We start from the raw sequence: 21358 nt of genomic DNA, 5'->3' as shown, positions 1-21358 counted from the left end.
TTGGAGCTAGGGTGCAAGAGAAGAGAGGAAAAAAATGAAAGCAAAGGAGATAAAAAGAATAAGAGGATTTCCCCCACCCTCTCTCTTTCTGAGAGTTTAGAGTTCCCTCTCATGCTTCTGGAGCCAAAACTGGAGGTTGTCTTTGGGAGCTCTCTGGGTCTGTGTGCAGAGGCTCACTTTCAGGTTGCAGGCTGCATGGAGTTCAGGCCAGGGGATGCACCAGAGGAGAAACTCCATGCTAGTTGAGTGGTACTTGGAACTCAGACATAGTCCCCAATCTGTCTGCTACTATTTACATTTCAGAGTCCTCAAACAGCTGCTCCATGTGTTCTGCCCAGGGATGGGACAGGATGGAGGGCACTCTCTCCATCTCCATTTCAGAGTTGTTGGAAACTTGCTGGCAGATTTATTTTTACATTTTTCCATTTAATTTTTATTTTTGAGGCAAGGTCTTGCTCTGTCCCAGGCTGGAGTGCAGTGGCATGATAGTTCCCTGCAGCCTCAAATTCCTGGGCTCAAGTGATCCTCCCACCTCTGACTCCTGAGTAGCTGTGACTACGGCTGCATGCCACCATGCCCAGCTAATGTTTTTGTTTTGTTTTGGTTTGGTTCGGTTTTTGTTTTTGTTTTGCTTTTTTTTTTTTTTTTTGGAGAAATAAGGTTTCACTATGTTGCCCAGGCTGGTCTCAAACTCTCGGCCTCAAGTGATCCTCCTGCCTTAGACTCCCAGAATGCTGAGATTACAAGAGTGAGATTGCTGGTCAATTTTGAAGTTTTGTTATTGAAGGAGGAGCTGATAATTAATAGTCTTGGTTCAGTTAGATTTAATATTGAGGACACTCTTTTGGTAATTTTTAGTTTTACATACTTTCAAACTTCAAGAAAAGTTATAGAAATAGTACAAGAAACTCTCTTATACCATATAGCCAGACATATCAATTTTTTACATTTTGTTCATCTGCTACATCGTTCTCTTTTTTCTCTCTGTCTAGATAGATAGATAGAGTTAGATAATTTTTCCTGAATCATTGAAGACTGAATTGGGAACATTGTGTCCATTTATCAGTAACTACTTCATGGTGTGTTTCCTGAGAACAGAGAAAATTCTCCTAGATAACTATAGTACAATTATCAAAATTAAGTCATTTAATATTGACATAATATCATTATCTGATCCATAGTCTATATTCAAATTTCATCAATTGTATAAAGTCTTTTATAGCTGTACGATTCATTTAAAGATCATGCATTTCATTTGTTACGTCTCTTTAATCTCCTTAGTTAGAAAGAGTTTTCTAGCCCTTTCTTTGTCTTTCTTGATCTTGACTTTTTGAAGACTATGTTTAGCCAAGTGTCCTTCAATTTGGGTTTACTGATATTCCCTCGTGCTTGGAATCTGGTTAGGAATTGTTGGCAGAAATATAGTTGTATTCTTCTCAGTGAATCATATCAAAAGTCTCCTGATGTGAGTTTTTCCAAATATTGGACAACTTCTTTTCTTTTTTTTTGAGAGAAAGTCTCACTCTGTTGCCCATGCTGGAGTGCAGTGGCACGATCTCAGCTCACTGCAACCTCCGCCTCCTGGGTTCAAGTGATTCCCCTGCCTCAGTCTCCTGAGTAGCTAGGATTATAGGCATGTGCCACCATACCCGGCTAATTTTTGTAGTTTTAGTAGAGATGGGGTTTCACCATATTGGCCAGGCTGGTCTTGAACTCCTGACCTCAAGCGATCCTTCCACCTCGGCCCCCCCAAAATGCTAGGATTACAGCTGTGAGCCACCGTGCCTGGCCTGGACAACTTTTATATTGGATGTTAATTTTTATAACTTGGTTATGGTGCCATCCACCAGAGTAACCAATTAAAAACTAATAGTGTTTCTGCCCAAGAACAAGTTTAGGGCAACTGTGGCTGCTTGGTCTTGTGAAACATTTTTTTCTTGCTTAGTTTAGGTTGGTGGTTGTTTTGACCTAACATCTAGGGAATGCATTATTTGCAATCTGCCTGGAATCAAAACAAGCCTTGGTTATTCTTCTGCTGTTTTGTGCTTGCTATTCCCAGCTGAGAGTCAGGTCCAAACCTGGGTGGCAGTGAGCCTCTGCCAGCCGCGACCCGGGCCACCAGTCATTCTGCATGCCTGTGGTACCAGAATGAATGGAGACTGACCAGCTCTGTGGGTGGGAAGGAAAAAGCTGCAGGATGACAGCGCACTCATTTTCATGGGAAAAAGTTTATCCCAGGCCTTACTTCTGGTTCTTGAAATAGTGAAGTGAGAAAAGGTTTTTTGAAGACGAATTTTAGCTAAATAGCCATTCAAGGGGGTTCAGTTCCTGAAAGCATTCACATCCCCCATCTGCCTGGGTCTCTGCAGCTGTGTGGGGCAGGAGGGGGCCAGTGTGATCTCGCACAAGTTGTGGATGGATTAAGACAAGTAATCAATATTTCATTTCTATATTTATAACTCCATCGTAATGCAAGTCTGACAAAGCAAATGTCCATAAAGAAAAAAGAAAGAAAGAAATTGGCACCAAGGTGTTTCGCATGGTTTCCTGCATGTATTCACACTAATGTACTGAAGCCGCATCCTCAGAAAAGTTCATTATATTCAGGTGGGCCCTGGTTGAGTGTAATTTCATTTCACTGCACACCTCAGCCATTAGTACCCAACTTACAGAGTTACTGACGGGAGCTGAAGAATCAACGAGGACTGAGCCCGTGCCAGGTGAAGAACTGTTGTCTGGAGTTTCATTTCCCCCGCAGCTTAAAACATTTAGAGGATGCTTAATGGATTCATCCTTCATTTTGATTTACTAGTCTCAATATTTCAATATATCTTTTTCAGAGGCTTAAGGGCCCCATTTCAGCGCTGTGATGGCAAGAGCCGTGAGCAGCTTGTAGTCCTGGGTTTTTCTAGGTTTCCTTTTCTATAGAATCCAGACATTTCAAAAAGAAAAAAGAAATTGACACGTAGCAAGTGGAGTGAAAATGACTCAAGGTTTTGTAGTTCTTTCTCCAGTTCCTGTTGCTCAAGAGTGATCAGAAGTTCTCCAGGATTCATCTTCCTCCATGCAAACACCCAAACTTTTTTTTTTTTTTTTGAGACGGAGTCTTGCTCAGTTGCTCAGGCTGTAGTGCAGTGCCTCCATCTCAGCTCACTGTTACCTCCACCTCCCGGGTTCAAGCCATTCTCCTACCTCAGCCTCCCTAGTAGCTGGGATTATAGGCGCCCACCACCACACTCGGCTAATTTTTGTATTTTTAGTAGAGACAGGGTTTCACCATGTTGGCCAGGCTGTGTCAAACTCCTGATCTCAGGTGATCTGCTCGCCTCAGCCTCCCAAAGTACAGAGATTACAGGCATGAGCCCAGCCACACACGAACTCTTTTCAGCTCTACCTGAGACAGGTGTTGTGTCCTGGGCCAGGTCATGTTGAGGATTGCCTTACTCAACATAGGGCACGTGATCAGTTTTTATCAGTGTCACTCTGCCTTCTTTCTGTTCCTCACTCCTGATTCTATCCACTCCCACCAGGAATACATGTTTATATAAGTTTATAGAAATTGACATTCTCTTGTTTGTTTGTTTTATGCTTTGTCTGGTATTCCCACAGTACTTTCTTTTCTACGCCCCCTTTCCCTTGTATCTGCACTCTCCATTCACTCCTTTCTTCCCTCCATATGTCTCTCCTGAGAATTTCTTAATTCTTTCCGCTCATCTGCAGGGGAGATGAAATATGCTCTAAACAAGGACCCTGTGACACCTGGCCATCTCTGTTTTGGGCAGGTTCTGAGTTCTGGCCAGTTCCGGAAGGCTGAGGGTGGGGGCTGGCTGCAGACTTGGGCAGAAAGAGGTCGCCCTGCTGCAGTCACTCTGACACCTCGCTTGCTTCTGGATTAATCTTGATGGTGGCTGGGGCAGTCACCCCCACAGTGTCTCTCCCTGAGATGGGCCTGACTGGCCTGGGTGCCTCAGCCCTAATTAAAGAGCAGGACAAGGGAGGTGCCAAGGAAGAGAGTCAGAGTCGATTTGACTGTCAGAATTCTTCATCACCTTCCAGATCTCTGTGTAGCTTTCCAGCTTCCCACTTTTTTCCCTGAAGTACACTTCCTGGTATTTTTTTTCTTTTCTGTATATTTAGAATGATAGACTCATCATACTTTGAAATTCAAGTAGGGCTGAATTTAGAGCTAATCTAATCGCCTATTTTGATAGAGGAAGAAATGAGACCCCAAAGAGGACACAGGAACATGAAACAGAGTGACAGAGAGAGTGTGAGGTTTAATGTCAGAAGGGCTGGGGTTCACATTTGGCTCCATGTACTTAACACTGCTGAGCCTCAGTTTCTCATCCGTAAAATGGGAGTGATGACATTGGCTATAGGAACTTCTGAGGACGAAATGCAGTAATGTGCATAGAGTGCCTGGCACAATCACTGGCACATAGTAGGTGCTTAAAAATTATTTTCTTTCTCTTTTCTTTCTTTTTTTGAGACAGAGTCTTGCTCTGTTGCCCAGACTGGAGTGCAGTGGTGCAATCTCAGCTCACTGCAGCCTCTACCTCCGGGGTTCAAGCAATTCTCATGTCACAGCCACTCGAGTAGCTGGGATTACAGGCATGCACCACCACACCAGGCTAACTTTTATATTTTGGGTAGAGACGGGCTTTCTCCATGTTGGCCACACTAGTCTTGAACTCCTGGCCTCAAGTGATCTGCCTGCCTTGGCCTCTCAAAGTGCTGGAATTATAGGCCTGAGCCACCATGTTCAGCTCCTTTCTTTTTTTTCAGCACCTTCTCCAACCTCATCTTTGAATTCCTCCTTGTTTCTCCCCAGCATTTTCTTCTTAAGTGACTCTCCCATGAAACCACCTTGCTTGTTTGTTCTCTTGCTTTCCGCCACCTGGTTCTGTCTCCTTCCCAATTTCTCTTCTTGAGGGATCCACGATCCCACTCTTGGCTCCCTGCAGGTGTTCACTTCTGCCCATCTACCAGAACCCTCTCCACCAAAGTAACTTCTGGAAGCATTTCTTGATTCCTACAGCCCTCAGGCGACTTCCCGCTTTGAGCTTGCATCCCACTTCCCATCTCCATCTTGCTCACTGACTTGCTTCCCTCTGCCTGGTGTCATTAATTCCACATGCATGCATGTGTCATATCTCCTGAGCTAGACTGGAAGATTCTTGACAGTTGGAACTACTCTATATATTATTTGCATATTCCTTACCAGGTCTCATAATAACCTCTCTCACCTGGTAGATATATAATAAATATTGATTGATAGATTGATAGATTCCTATTGTCTTTTCCCCAAGACACCTTCTCTCCAACAGTTTCTTTAGGAAAGCGAACACATTTACATGAGTTGAATGTTTGCTTGCATATTATAGCTAGCAGAATGTGTCTAGGTAACAACATGCTAAGTAAAGGGTGCAATCCTTGCTTTTGGTGGCGTGCAAACTTGCACTGCCATGGCTAACGGCAACAGAGACGCTATTGCCTCTGCAAATTGCTTCTTCCATGTTTGCATCAGGGAAGCACAGAAGCTCGTGTCTGTGCTGATAACTCTCCCTTCCTTCTTGGAACACAAAGCCATTTCGTATTTACCTGTGGGCTATCTCAGAGATGTATCCATCTTAAATCACGCAGGCTGTCCCAAGGAGGGGCTGGAGACTCCTCGCTGTGAGTTTTTCCAACCCTTCATCCCTTTCGCTTGAAGCCTTTCAGACTGAATTTACAAATGAGGTTTTAAACTGGATCACCTCAAGATGAATTTCCGTGCTCAGTCAGATGTTAGCAGTGCATTATTTGGGTTGTATAAAATGGGAGTTTAGTAAGGTTAATTTCTCCCTCCTCCCCACTTTAGGCTAATTATTGGAGAAAGTGTTTGCAGACCTGGAACTTCTCATAATTCATCCTGCCTTCTGTTTCTTTAGCATTGGGGCTCATAAATCTCTGTTTGCGATGACATAATTGGTTACCAGAGGAATGCGGTGGTACTGCCAGCTGAAAGTTACAGCTCCAGACTCCGAGGAAACCCAAACAGACTCATTCCAAGAGATACGACCTACCCTTTTCTTTCTTTACTGCAAGGGTTGTTGTGTCCAGATCCTCTCATGAGCAGGGGTAGCCACAACACACCAAATTAAGAGAAATTGAGCTGGGCACATTGGCTTGTACCTGTAGTCCCAGCTACTTGGGAGGCTGAGGCAGGAGGATGGCTTGAGCTCAGGAGTTCAAGGCTGTGTTGACCCATGATCATGCTACTGCTCTCCAACCTGGGTGAAAGAGCGAGATCTTGTCTAAAAAATAAAAATAAAAAAATGAAAAAAGCACAAACTCTCTAAACTTCAGGATGAAAATCGAAAATGAGAATACCCCAAGAGGAATTACGTGCTTCAGAATTTATCTATTAGAAGGCACAACGTTAAGAAGTATCGAATCAACATAATTCCCCTTAGAGTTCACTTACCTTTGAAACATAGCCAGAAATAATGTAATCTTCCATTTCTAATTTCTGCTTCCTTCCTCTCTTTATAGTGTCTGTGAATTTGCATATCTATGACATCTATATGTATTATGCATTTGAAAAATTTATATAAAGAAAGTGAGAATCGCGGCACATTAGAACTCTAAAAACACTTAAAAGATTTAGTCCAATCCCTAGTTTTAGAGATGAAGGCACTGAGGTCTAAAAACATATCTGAGGTCCATTTACTGAAAGCGGAGTTATTGTCCCAGAAGGGATGGAATCCAGGCTCCTAGCCCCAGCCAAGCCTTCCTCGTGCCATGCTGACCAGCCTACACATTAGCTAGACATCAGACCAAGAGACAGTTCCATTCATCTTGGCACATTCCCATTAGTGGTTATGAGAATTCTATTATTAGAAAACAGCTAGTGTAAGTATTCTCATTTCAAACTCAGGAAATAGAAATGAAATTGAAAAGTATTTAAGTTCACTAAATAGAACATTTAGATGGTTCTAATGTCACCATCCTCATCTTTAAAATGAGGGGGTTAACTGGTCATCCTTGGGTCATCCCCAACCGAAATACTCGAGAATTCTAAATCAAGCTGAATGTTTTCTGTGAGATTTACTCCTTTCCTCTCCCGGTCTATTCCTCCTTAACAATCTGAAACTTTTAATTTCCCCAAATATAAAATAGAGCTAATAATAATTTCCAAGCAGTGGTGACAGCAAATAAGATGATACACATAAGCACATTTGATCCCTTGAATAAAAAGCAATGTGAAGATGCACAGTGAACTACTTGCAGCAGTTCAAAAATAGGAAGTAACTGTAGAATATGATCATCTCTAGATTAAGCACATGTGGGTTATTGTTTGTTTCGTGGATTATTGCTAGCAAATGTTCAATTTCAGGTTGACTCCCCTGCCACTCAGAATGCATCGGGATCCGTCGGGATGAACTCAGGGAAACACTAGCCACTTTTCATGTTTTTATTAGAAAGGTAATCGGCTACTGTTTTGGAAATGCAAATTCCAAAGCACATCAGAACTATGTCATCATGGCATTTTGCCTGCTGTTTTGGGTCATTTACATAACAGTTTCCTTCATTAGCAGGGGTCATCAAGGGCCAATCATAATACAATCTACAGAATTTAGAAAATGCCTTTCTTGTATTATCATTGGTTTCCTCTTTATCATCTCGCCTGCAAAAATATCTGTAAAAAATTCTTAACATTGGTCCATGCTCTTAAATGAATGTGCCCTGGCTAGCTTTTGTTATCTATTAAATAGATATGTTAGTTGCCATTGCGGACATGGCTGCAGTAGAGCGATCTATTAGGTTGGTAGGAAAGCAATTGCAGCTTTTGCCATTACTTTAATTCGAGGCAAAAACCCCAAATTAAAGGTTAAATTTTGCCAAATTCATTGGCAAAAACCGCAATTACTTTTGCACCAACGTAAGGAATCTGACTCAATATATCCCCATTGTCAGCTGATGGTTTCTAATGTATAACTCCTCCGGCAAAGCATACACGGCTAGTTGCAATGAACAAAGGCTTGCTTTAGGAAGAAACTCTCACGGACAGCACACAGGGTGATTTTGAAAGTGTAGGCAAGATCCTTTTAGGAAGCAAGGAAAGCGTGTGTATGGATTTATGTCTGTGTGGGAGAACACAGCTGTAGATAATAGTATCTTCATGTTATTTCTCTTGCCTATCATCCCTTGCCCATTTAAGGGAGTTAATGTGATATTGTGTAAGGAATGGAAGTTTAAATGACTTAATATATAAAGTGAAATATTATTAAAATATTATGTTCAATTCTGCACTTGAATCTTTAAAGGGGATAAAAACAAATGGAAGCTTTTTTGGAGCAGGGCAACCAGACCAGAAGAAACCACACTCTCTGAGGAACATTAAAGGAAATGGGAGAAGTTGTGTCTGGAGATGAGAGGCTCGGGAGGGATATATTAGGTGTCTTTAAATATTCGAGGCATTGTCATAAGGGAGAAAGACTTTAATTATTCTAGTTAATTTTTAGGGATACGGAAGGACAGATCTCAGCTTATAATAAGGAGTTTTTTGTTGTTTTTTGTTTTGTTTTGTTTTACTTTTTGGTTTGTTTGTTTGAAACAGGGTTTTGCTCTGTCACCCAGGCTGCAGTGCAGTGGCTGAATCTCAGCTCACTGCAACTTCTGCCTCCTGGGTTCAAGTGATTCTCCTGCTTCAGCCTCCCAAGTAGCTGGGGTTACAGGCACATGCCACCATGCCTGGCTAATTTGTGTGTCTTTAGTAGAGATGGAATTTCACCACGTTGGCCAGGCTGGTCTCAAACTCCTGACCCCCAGTTATCCACCTGCCTCAGCCTCCCCAAGTGCCAGGATTACAGGCATGAGCCACTGCGCTCGGCCTAAGGATATATTTTCTAAGGATCAGAAAGATGGGAAGATTTGGTGGTCCGTGAGCCTCCAGCTGTGGAGGAGTTTGGACCCCATGTGGCTGATGGCAGGTGAGAGAAGCCAATGCTGGCAAATGATTGGGTCAGGTGATCCCCAAGGGCTCTCTCAGTTTAGGGAGGTTATGATGTTAACAGAGTGACTTTGGCTAAATTACCACCTGGGCCTCCATTATCTCACCTATAAAATGATAGATCTAGACTAACTCAGCAATTGTCAACTACTTTTTTCATAATGGTTCAACAAACTTCCTTTTCCTCTCCCTCCACCCCTGCCTACCTGCTCCTAAATGAAATCTTATATAGAATTCCAACATAAAGAAAGTTTAAGGGAAACTTTAGTCTCTGGAAAAGGGAATTGAAAGCCCGGAGCTCTTTCCCCTCGGCCTCCGGCCTTCCACTCTACCTTTTCTTCCTCTTGGGCAACCTCTGAGTACCTCTGTGGAATCTGAGAATTACAATCTAAAAAACACAAGATTAGGCCCACCACGGTGGCTCACCCTGTCATCCCAGCACTTTGGGAGGCTGAGGTGGGCGGATCACTTGATGTCAGGAGTTCAAGACCAGCCTGGCCAACATGGTGAAACCCCATCTCTACTAAAAATACAAAAATTAGCTGGGTGTGGTGGCGTGCACCTGTAATCCCAGCTACTGGGGAGGCTGAGGCAGGAGAACCGCTTGAACCCAGGAGGCGGACGTTGCAGTGAGCCAAGATCACAAGACTGCACTATAGCCTGGGCAACAGAGTGAGACTTTGTCTAAAATAAATAAATAAATAAATAAATAAATAAATAAATAGATAAAAACTACAAGATTAAAAGCTTTCTAATATTCTTACCAGATCTACATTTTTACTATTGTCATATAATTCTACTATTATTCTTTAGCCAGATTAATAAACATTAAAAATTTCTTTTTCTACCTGTTGCAAGCTTGAGGCTTACAGAAAAGAAATTATGTTGCACAGTGGTTAAGATTACGAACTTCACTTAGAACCATAAAAGCTTGGGTTCAAGTTTCTACGCTGTCTTATTAGTTTGGTGACAAAGGGCAACTTGATTAGACTTTTTAAGCTTGCCGTTGTAGAGGTAGAACGAATACCCCCACCTTATGGAATCTGGGGGAGGAGTAAAATGATCATTATGTTTACAATGTGAAATAAGCCCTCAACAAGGTGGTTATTTCATTAATAAAAAGACCAACTAAAATGGAATGAAAAAATTCTCACACATGGTGACAATTTCTTATCACTGGTAGTAAAAACTAGAAGTCAAAAATTTTATAACTATCTTCCAAAACTTGGCATAAGCCCATCTAAGGGAGGAAATCCGATGACATTGCTATCAGACCCCTCTGACTCTTCTGTGTGGCCTTAAACAAAATCCTCAGCTGGTTTAGGATGCTGTCCCATTAATCAAATGAGACTGCAGTATTAAAAAGATGCCCTCTGGGGAGGAGCCAAGATGGCCGAATAGGAACAGCTCCGGTCTACAGCTCCCAGCGTGAGCGACGCAGAAGACGGGTGATTTCTGCATTTCCATCTGAGGTACCGGGTTCATCTCACTAGGGAGTGCCAGACAGTGGGCGCAGGCCAGTGTGTGTGCGCACCGTGCGCGAGCCGAAGCAGGGCGAGGCATTGCCTCACCTGGGAAGCGCAAGGGGTCAGGGAGTTCCCTTTCCGAGTCAAAGAAAGGGGTGACGGACGCACCTGGAAAATCGGGTCACTCCCACCCGAATATTGCGCTTTTCAGACCGGCTTAAGAAATGGCGCACCACGAGACTATATTCCACACCTGGCTCAGAGGGTCCTACGCCCACGGAGTCTCGCTGACTGCTAGCACAGCAGTCTGAGATCAAACTGCAAGGCGGCAACGAGGCTGGGGGAGGGGCGCCCGCCATTGCCCACGCTTGCTTAGGTAAACAAAGCAGCCGGGAAGCTCCAACTGGGTGGAGCCCACCACAGCTCAAGGAGGCCTGCCTGCCTCTGTAGGCTCCACCTCTGGGGGCAGGGCACAGACAAACAAAAAGACAGCAGTAACCTCTGCAGACTTAAGTGTCCCTGTCTGACAGCTTTGAAGAGAGCAGTGGTTCTCCCAGCACGCAGCTGGAGATCTGAGAACGGGCAGACTGCCTCCTCAAGTGGGTCCCTGACCCCTGACCCCCGAGCAGCCTAACTGGGAGGCACCCCCCAGCAGGGGCACACTGACACCTCACACGGCAGGGTATTCCAACAGACCTGCAGCTGAGGGTCCTGTCTGTTAGAAGGAAAACTAACAACCAGAAAGGACATCTATACCGAAAACCCATCTGTACATCACCATCATCAAAGACCAAAAGTAGAGAAAACCACAAAGATGGGGAAAAAACAGAACAGAAAAACTGGAAACTCTAAAACGCAGAGCGCCTCTCCTCCTCCAAAGGAACGCAGTTCCTCACCAGCAACAGAACAAAGCTGGATGGAGAATGATTTTGACGAGCTGAGAGAAGAAGGCTTCAGACGATCAAATTACTCTGAGCTACGGGAGGACATTCAAACCAAAGGCAAAGAAGTTGAAAACTTTGAAAAAAATTTAGAAGAATGTATAACTAGAATAACCAATACAGAGAAGTGCTTAAAGGAGCTGATGGAGCTGAAAACCAAGGCTCGAGAACTACGTGAAGAATGCAGAAGCCTCAGGAGCCGATGCGATCAACTGGAAGAAAGGGTATCAGCAATGGAAGATGAAATGAATGAAATGAAGCGAGAAGGGAAGTTTAGAGAAAAAAGAATAAAAAGAAATGAGCAAAGCCTCCAAGAAATATGGGACTATGTGAAAAGACCAAATCTACGTCTGATTGGTGTACCTGAAAGTGATGTGGAGAATGGAACCAAGTTGGAAAACACTCTGCAGGATATTATCCAGGAGAACTTCCCCAATCTAGCAAGGCAGGCCAACGTTCAGATTCAGGAAATACAGAGAACGCCACAAAGATACTCCTCGAGAAGAGCAACTCCAAGACACATAATTGTCAGATTCACCAAAGTTGAAATGAAGGAAAAAATGTTAAAGGCAGCCAGAGAGAAAGGTCGGGTTACCCTCAAAGGAAAGCCCATCAGACTAACAGCGGATCTCTCGGCAGAAACCCTACAAGCCAGAAGAGAGTGGGGGCCAATATTCAACATTCTTAAAGAAAAGAATTTTCAACCCAGAATTTCATATCCAGCCAAACTAAGCTTCATAAGTGAAGGAGAAATAAAATACTTTATAGACAAGCAAATGCTGAGAGATTTTGTCACCACCAGGACTGCCCTAAAAGAGCTCCTGAAGGAAGCGCTAAACATGGAAAGGAACAACCGGTACCAGCCACTGCAAAATCATGCCAAAATGTAAAGACCATCGAGACTAGGAAGAAACTGCATCAACTAATGAGCAAAATCACCAGCTAACATCATAATGACAGGATCAAATTCACACATAACAATATTAACTTTAAATATAAATGGACTAAATTCTGCAATTAAAAGACACAGACTGGCAAGTTGGATAAAGAGTCAAGACCCATCAGTGTGCTGTATTCAGGAAACCCATCTCACGTGCAGAGACACACATAGGCTCAAAATAAAAGGATGGAGGAAGATCTACCAAGCCAATGGAAAACAAAAAAAGGCAGGGGTGGCAATCCTAGTCTCTGATAAAACAGACTTTAAACCAACAAAGATCAAAAGAGACAAAGAAGGCCATTACATAATGATAAAGGGATCAATTCAACAAGAGGAGCTAACTATCCTAAATATTTATGCACCCAATACAGGAGCACCCAGATTCATAAAGCAAGTCCTCAGTGACCTACAAAGAGACTTAGACTCCCACATATTAATAATGGGAGACTTTAACACCCCACTGTCAACATTAGACAGATCAACGAGACAGAAAGTCAACAAGGATACCCAGGAATTGAACTCAGATCTGCACCAAGCAGACCTAATAGACATCTACAGAACTCTCCACCCCAAATCAACAGAATATACATTTTTTTCAGCACCACACCACACCTATTCCAAAATTGACCACATAGTTGGAAGTAAAGCTCTCCTCAGCAAATGTAAAAGAACAGAAATTATAACAAACTATCTCTCAGACCACAGTGCAATCAAACTAGAACTCAGGATTAAGAATCTCACTCAAAGCCGCTCAACTACATGGAAACTGAACAATCTGCTCCTGAATGACTACTGGGTACATAACGAAATGAAGGCAGAAATAAAGATGTTCTTTGAAACCAACGAGAACAAAGACACCACATACCAGAATCTCTGGGACGCATTCAAAGCAGTGTGTAGAGGGAAATTTATAGCACTAAATGCCTACAAGAGAAAGCAGGAAAGATCCAAAATTGACACCCTAACATCACAATTAAAAGAACTAGAAAAGCAAGAGCAAACACATTCAAAAGCTAGCAGAAGGCAAGAAATAACTAAAATCAGAGCAGAACTGAAGGAAATAGAGACACAAAAAACCCTTCAAAAAATCAATGAATCCAGGAGCTGGTTTTTTGAAAGGATCAACAAAATTGATAGACCGCTAGCAAGACTAATAAAGAAAAAAAGAGAGAAGAATCAAATAGACACAATAAAAAATGATAAAGGGGATATCACCACTGATCCCACAGAAATACAAACTACCATCAGAGAATACTACAAACACCTCTACGCAAATAAACTAGAAAATCTAGAAGAAATGGATACATTCCTCGACACATACACTCTCCCAAGACTAAACCAGGAAGAAGTTGAATCTCTGAATAGACCAATAACAGGCTCTGAAATTGTGGCAATAATCAATAGTTTACCAACCAAAAAGAGTCCAGGACCAGATGGATTCACAGCCGAATTCTACCAGAGGTACAAGGAGGAACTGGTACCATTCCTTCTGAAACTATTCCAATCAATAGAAAAAGAGGGAATCCTCCCTAACTCATTTTATGAGGCCAGCATCATTCTGATACCAAAGCCGGGCAGAGACACAACCAAAAAAGAGAATTTTAGACCAATATCCTTGATGAACATTGATGCAAAAATCCTCAATAAAATACTGGCAAACCGAATCCAGCAGCACATCAAAAAGCTTATCCACCATGATCAAGTGGGCTTCATCCCTGGGATGCAAGGCTGGTTCAATATATGCAAATCAATAAATGTAATCCAGCATATAAACAGAGCCAAAGACAAAAACCACATGATTATCTCAATAGATGCAGAAAAAGCCTTTGACAAAATTCAACAACCCTTCATGCTAAAAACTCTCAATAAATTAGGTATTGATGGGACGTATTTCAAAATAATAAGAGCTATCTATGACAAACCCACAGCCAATATCATACTGAATGGGCAAAAACTGGAAGCATTCCCTTTGAAAACTGGCACAAGACAGGGATGCCCTCTCTCACCACTCCTATTCAACATAGTGTTGGAAGTTCTGGCCAGGGCAATCAGGCAGGAGAAGGAAATAAAGGGTATTCAATTAGGAAAAGAGGAAGTCAAATTGTCCCTGTTTGCAGACGACATGACTGTTTATCTAGAAAACCCCATCGTCTCAGCCCAAAATCTCCTTAAGCTGATAAGCAACTTCAGCAAAGTCTCAGGATACAAAATCAATGTACAAAAATCACAAGCATTCTTATACACCAACAACAGACAAACAGAGAGCCAAATCATGGGTGAACTCCCATTCACAATTGCTTCAAAGAGAATAAAATACCTAGGAATCCAACTTACAAGGGATGTGAAGGACCTCTTCAAGGAGAACTACAAACCACTGCTCAAGGAAATAAAAGAGGACACAAACAAATGGAAGAACATTCCATGCTCATGGGTAGGAAGAATCAATATCGTGAAAATGGCCATACTGCCCAAGGTAATTTACAGATTCAATGCCATCCCCATCAAGCTACCAATGACTTTCTTCACAGAATTGGAAAAAACTACTTTAAAGTTCATACGGAACCAAAAAAGAGCCCGCATCGCCACGTCAATCCTAAGCCAAAAGAACAAAGCTGGAGGCATCACACTACCTGACTTCAAACTATACTACAAGGCTACAGTAACCAAAACAGTATGGTACTGGTACCAAAACAGAGATATAGATCAATGGAACAGAACAGAGCCCTCAGAAATAATGCCGCATATCTACAACTATCTGATCTTTGACAAACCTGAGAAAAACAAGCAATGGGGAAAGGATTCCCTATTTAATAAATGGTGCTGGGAAAACTGGCTAGCCATATGTAGAAAGCTGAAACTGGATCCCTTCCTTACACCTTATACAAAAATCAATTCAAGATGGATTAAAGATTTATACGTTAGACCTAAAACCATAAAAACCCTAGAAGAAAACCTAGGCATTACCATTCAGGACATAGGCGTGGGCAAGGACTTCATGTCCAAAACACCAAAAGCAATGGCAACAAAAGCCAAAATTGACAAATGGGATCTAATTAAACTAAAGAGCTTCTGCACAGCAAAAGAAACTACCATCAGAGTGAACAGGCAACCTACAACATGGGAGAAAATTTTTGCAACCTACTCATCTGACAAAGGGCTAATATCCAGAATCTACAATGAACTCAAACAAATTTACAAGAAAAAAACAAACAACCCCATCAAAAAGTGGGCGAAGGACGTGAACAGACACTTCTCAAAAGAAGACATTTATGCAGCCAAAAAACACATGAAGAAATGCTCATCATCACTGGCCATCAGAGAAATGCAAATCAAAACCACTATGAGATATCATCTCACACTAGTTAGCATGGCAATCATTAAAAAGTCAGGAAACAACAGGTGCTGGAGAGGATGTGGAGAAATAGGAACACTTTTACACTGTTGGTGGGACTGTCAACTAGTTCAACCATTGTGGAAGTCAGTGTGGCGATTCCTCAGGGATCTAGAACTAGAAATACCATTTGACCCAGCCATCCCATTACTGGGTATATACCCAAAGGACTATAAATCATGCTGCTATAAAGACACATGCACACGTATGTTTATTGCGGCACTATTCACAATAGCAAAGACTTGGAACCAACCCAAATGTCCAACAATGATAGACTGGATTAAGAAAATGTGGCACATATACACCATGGAATACTATGCAGCCATAAAAAATGATGAGTTCATATCCTTTGTAGGGACATGGATGAAATTGGAAACCATCATTCTCAGTAAACTATCGCAAGAACAAAAAACCAAACACCGCATATTCTCACTCATAGGTGGGAATTGAACAATGAGATCACATGGACACAGGAAGGGGAATATCACACTCTGGGGACTGTGGTGGGGTCGGGGGAGGGGGGAGGGATAGCATTGGGAGATATACCTAATGCTAGATGACACATTAGTGGGTGCAGCGCACCAGCATGGCACATGTATACATATGTAACTAACCTGCACAATGTGCACATGTACCCTAAAACTTAGAGTATAATAAAAAAAATAAAAATAAAAATAAAAAATAAAAAAAATAAAAAGAAGGAAAAAGAAAAAAGAAAAAAAAAAAAAAAAAAAAAGATGCCCTGTGGGTGGATCACCTAAGGACAGGTGTTCGAGACCAGCCTGGCCAACATAGTGAAACCCTGTCTCCACTAAAAATACAAAAATTAGCCAGACATGGTGGCGAGCATCTGTAATCCCAGCTTCTTGGGAGGCTGAGGCAGGAGAATAGCTTGAACCTGGGAGGTGGAGGTTGCAGTGAGCCGAGATCACCCCATTGCACTCCTGCCTGGGAGTGCAACAGAGTGAGACTTGGTCTGAAAAAAATAAAAAATAAATAAATTTTAAAAGATGCCCTGAAGAAGGATCGGGGGTTCAGTTTATCCAAGAGAGCACTAACTTTTGGGACTAATTTTCCAAAAGCCAAAAGCCAAAAGCCTTCTTGGCAAAATCTCAGCGCTACCTCTTATAACCCTGCCAAACAGTCTTAGTGCTTTATTTTCTGTCTAGGGACCATCTATACTTTTTACCTAAAATGGAAGTGTATTTGTTCAGCAAACATTTGCTGCACACTTACTCTGTATAGAGTTTTAGAGGAAAACAAGGAAACAGAAGAAATCACATCTTTAAAAGGCTCACAGTTTAATTCAGAGACTTGCAGCCGTACCTTAGAGTTAGGCTAAGAGGGTTCACAGTGACCTTGGTTCCTGCTACTCATCTTCCCTTCCTAGTTATTTCTCTTTGCATCCCTCCTTTGCTAAAGTCTGGAGCTCTCTTGCTGCTCTCTGTCCATCTAAAGTAGCCTTTTGCATTCATTTACATAGACACATCTTTTGATGTTCCATGCTCCAAAACGAACTCTCGTGTTTTTTTCCATATCCCTAATAAGGACTCCCATGCTACAGAGTCTGACCCTAAATGTCTAAAGAAAACAGTCTTACGTGGGGATAAGGTGAACAAGATTAATAGGCTTAATTCTCCCCTTTCCCACCTCTCACTTAGGGAGGATTTATGTTTTAAATAACCTTTACACATGTAAATTAATTAGTCTGAAACAGTGTCATTGGTGGGATGTGTGAGCAGGGTGCTTGAGTGTCGCTTTCTGTTCTGATCGTGTGCTGACCTCCATGCTAAACTCTGAAATCACACATCAGTATGGACTCATTGAATAGTTACATAGAAGGGCCTATCTAGAAACAAACAAATGAAAATTACGTGGAGTATACATGGCTTCATAACATTTGAGGGCAAGCAAAATACAGAGAAACAAATCAAGGAAAAGGTTTGTTGAGACAGACTCCCTGGGGTAGGAATGTTTTCATGTGGGTTTTCAAGGGGGTGACGTCATATGCAAACCCGATCCCACTTTTTCTCCTTTCTTAGAAGTTCTGAAAGAGAGATGAGAGTGCAGATATAGATGAGGATAGTCTGTCTAAGGATAATACCAAAGGTAAGTGTGCTTTGAGGTTTAAAATATTTGCTGGAAGCTATTTACTGACTGGTTACTAGGAGACAGCATGACTCATTGCTAACTTCCCCTCCGGGGCCAGCGTTCAGTCATTTATCACCTAGCACATTGGATCAAGACTGATAGAATCTTTAGAAAAAATTATGGAGTTCTCTATTCTAGTAAGGAGGCACTAAACTGTGGAAATAAAATGATCCCTGAAGATGAGGTCCACTGAGAAAGCATCCCGACATGTGTTCTGTATGTACTAACAGTCCAAGGATTAATGTGTGGTGGAGAGATATATACAAGATAAAATACAAACAACGTACATATTAAACAACTGTACAAAGCAATATTAAACCAACGTCAATAGTGAATACTGTATCTTCCCTGAGGACTTCCCCCCCGACCCCCACCCCAGTTTCTGAATGAATATATTTACATTATAACTCGGTATTCCTAATTTCCATGAAACAACACACTTAAATATTCCTTTAATAATCTTTCTAAAGATTCAAATAAGTAGAATAGATGAGGGTAGATTCCAAACAATCAGGTCTTTCAAGATAATTCATAAATTTAAATATAAATTCTAAGATAAATTTGGAAAATATTGAGGGTTGAATTGACATATGGGAAAAAATTAGTCAAATCATTTATACATTGCCCACAACCACAGGGGCATCACTATAATGTAAAGTTTATTGGAAAATTTTTTTTAGATAGAATCTCACTGTGTCACCTGGGCTAGAGCACAGTGGCATGATCACAGCTCACTGCACCCTCAACTTCCCAAGCTCAAGCCATCCTCCCACCTCAGCCTCCTGGGTAGCTGGGACTACAGGCATGCACTCCATGCCCAGCTAATTATTATTACTATTATTTGTAAAGATGGGGTCTTACAATGTTGCCCAGGCTGGTCTTGATTCCTGGACTCAAGTGATCCTCCTACCTCAGCTTCCCAAAGTGGTGGGATTACAAGTGTGAGCCACTGTGCCCAGCCTCATTGGGAATTTTTACAAAGAAATGTCTTGACATATTTCCATAACAACAACATCAGAATTGTCAGAGACAAAGCCTAGATAATATAAACTTCATCTGATAGGAGAAGGAAAGTATTTAAACATCAAAAGAATGGGAAATGATGTTTGTGCAGTTATGTTTGTGAGTGTGAGAGTGAGTAAGCGTGCAGCATATTGTAAAAATAAGCGAAAGGTGATGTGGCAAGAGTGTGTTTTGAAATATTTATTGAAGCTTTCACTCTGTGTTTTGCCTTGACCTTCGCCTGTTCAAAGAGGTATCAAGGTCCGTGCTGTGGTAGGGTTCCCTACTGTAAAAGCTGTCAAAATTCTGAGTCCATTGAGAAGATCGGTGGCTTAAGAAAGAGTGCAAAGTGCAGCTCTCTCACGGGGAGAGAAGAGAGAGTAAAAGACAGAGAAGGAGGGAGGGAGGAAAGAAGAGGAGATTGCATTTTCTCAGAGCAATTAAGATTTCCCTAGTCCAGGCCAGACACAGTGGCTCACGCCTGTAATCCCAGAAATTTGGGAGGCCAAGGCAGGTGAATCACCTCAGGTCAGTAGTTCAAGACTAGCCTGGCCAACATGGTGAATCCCCGTCACTATTAAAAATACAAAAGTTAGCCAGGCGTGGTGGCGCATGCCTGTACTCCCAGCTACTCTGGAGGCTCAGCTACTCTGGAGGCTCAGGTAGGAGGATCACTTGAACTTGGGAGGTGGAGGTTGCAGTGAGTCGAGATTGCGCCACTGCACTCCAGCCTGGGCAACAGAATGAGACTGTCTCAAAAAAAAAAAAAAAAGAAAAAAAAATTCCCTAGTCCAAGAGTATGAGGATCTGCTCCTGCTCCCTGAGGCCATGGCGGGACCTCAGGGAAGGTGAGTGTGTGATACACCTGGGGAAGTGCCCCAAGACTCTTGGTCCCAAGCTTGGTACAGAAGCCCACAGAACAGAGATTATCACGTGGCCAGGGACAATGTGCCTCTCAACAGGCATCAAACAGAGGGGCCTAGTCTATCCAATATCTTGACATGTCAGGCAGATCCCCAAGCCCTGCTCAAATCTGCTGAAGATGGTGATAGAGAAACCTCAAGAATGGTCAAGCTTTTATTTCCTCCAGCCCAGTGGGAAAAGGGCTTAGAGAGGATATTACATTGATTTATGGAAAATAAAGCATCTGAGTTTATAGACTAAGATTTATACCTGCTACAAAAGTATGAATCCTTTTATCCTATACATATATATACACATATATACTAGAGGGCACATGCTACTGAGACATATTGCTTGGGTTCAGATTTTGCAACACTAACTAGCTGCGTGTGATTTTAGGAAGTTTCTTAACCTCACTGGCCTCAGTTTCTGTGAAACTGAAATTAATCATAGCACCAATTTCACATGGTTGTTGTAAGAATGAGATGAGATCATCTGTATCTTTGGCACAGAACAAAGGCTGAACAATGATAAGCTATCATAATAATTATTATTATTATTTATTTTTCTTCCATAAATGTCCCAGTCACTACCTAAATGTGAAGGAGAGATCTAGTCCTAAAAAAAGGTTTCCATTGACAGCTCAAGTTATTCGTGGATTTTCTTTCATGATAGCCTTAAGAAATAAACAAATAGACAAAAGTCTCTGTTTTTCTTTGGCCCCTAGGTGACCACTAAATTACATGTGAAACAAAACATGTTCAAGAGAAATGTCCCTGGAAGAAAGGAATTTTTCCTAAATCTTAAATAGCAAGTTTCTTGAATCCTAAATAAGGGTAGTGTCACGCCTCTGCCAAGTAGGAATGTCAGTATGGGGGTAGGAAGTCCAGCTGTATCCTCCCATCAAATGGAAATTAGTTGGATTCCTGATGCTAAGGGTTCCCATGGGCTCTTCATATGACAGATAAGAGGACGAGGGGGGTGAAGAATTATTATTTATAAATAACACACCAGAGTGCCTGAGGTTGGCCAACCTTAAATTCAATGTTCAAAGTTTGGAGCAGGTGTCTACAAACTTTTATCCCTAAGCCACACTAAGAGGACTATTTATGAAATACATCTGTATCCTTGGATGGCTATGACAATTGGTAATGGTCATTGGGGTATTATACGAAATATGTTTGGTCTTTGTTCCCAGTTCCTGACATGGGGTTCCTAAAACCCCTGGAATCTTCTGAGTGATAGGACTATTTTTGTTATTTATAATGAAGCCACTTGATCACTTTCTGAGTTTATGGTAAAGAGATTACGTAGGGTGACACCCCTAGATAGTCTCTGTATGGAGCCAGTCAACAGAAAGACAAGGTGATTAGAGGATTAGAAGGTTGGAGCTGTCAGCCCCACCTACTGATAGCTGGTGGGTTGGTGGGGGGCAAATAGAAATCAAGCTTCACAAAAACTTGAACAACAAGATTTGGTGAGTTTCCAGTGGCTGAATACAGGGAGGTACTGGGAGGGTGGAGCCCCAGAGACGGGGTGGAAGTTGTGCACCCCCATAACTCACGGTAT

General features: G+C 42.0%; 3 annotated features.

Moving 5' to 3' along the window:
• Nucleotides 7232-8073: an enhancer, noted in NCBI's record as "OCT4-NANOG hESC enhancer chr10:33808102-33808943 (GRCh37/hg19 assembly coordinates)". NCBI's record gives its function as "activates a minimal SCP1, AML or CMV promoter by ChIP-STARR-seq in naive H9 embryonic stem cells {active_cell/tissue: H9 hESC(naive)}" and the evidence as "EXISTENCE:reporter gene assay evidence [ECO:0000049][PMID:30033119]".
• Nucleotides 7332-7626: a silencer, noted in NCBI's record as "tiled region #8853; HepG2 Repressive non-DNase unmatched - State 24:Quies". NCBI's record gives its function as "represses a minimal TATA promoter and a strong SV40 promoter by Sharpr-MPRA in HepG2 cells {active_cell/tissue: HepG2}" and the evidence as "EXISTENCE:reporter gene assay evidence [ECO:0000049][PMID:27701403]".
• Nucleotides 10651-11242: an enhancer, noted in NCBI's record as "H3K27ac-H3K4me1 hESC enhancer chr10:33804933-33805524 (GRCh37/hg19 assembly coordinates)". NCBI's record gives its function as "activates a minimal SCP1, AML or CMV promoter by ChIP-STARR-seq in primed H9 embryonic stem cells {active_cell/tissue: H9 hESC(primed)}" and the evidence as "EXISTENCE:reporter gene assay evidence [ECO:0000049][PMID:30033119]".

This window comes from Homo sapiens, chromosome 10, assembly GCF_000001405.40.
Source record: "Homo sapiens chromosome 10, GRCh38.p14 Primary Assembly".
Taxonomy (NCBI): Eukaryota; Metazoa; Chordata; class Mammalia; order Primates; family Hominidae; genus Homo; species Homo sapiens.
Note: the sequence above shows the minus strand (reverse complement) of the source record. Positions and strands in the feature narration are given on the sequence as shown.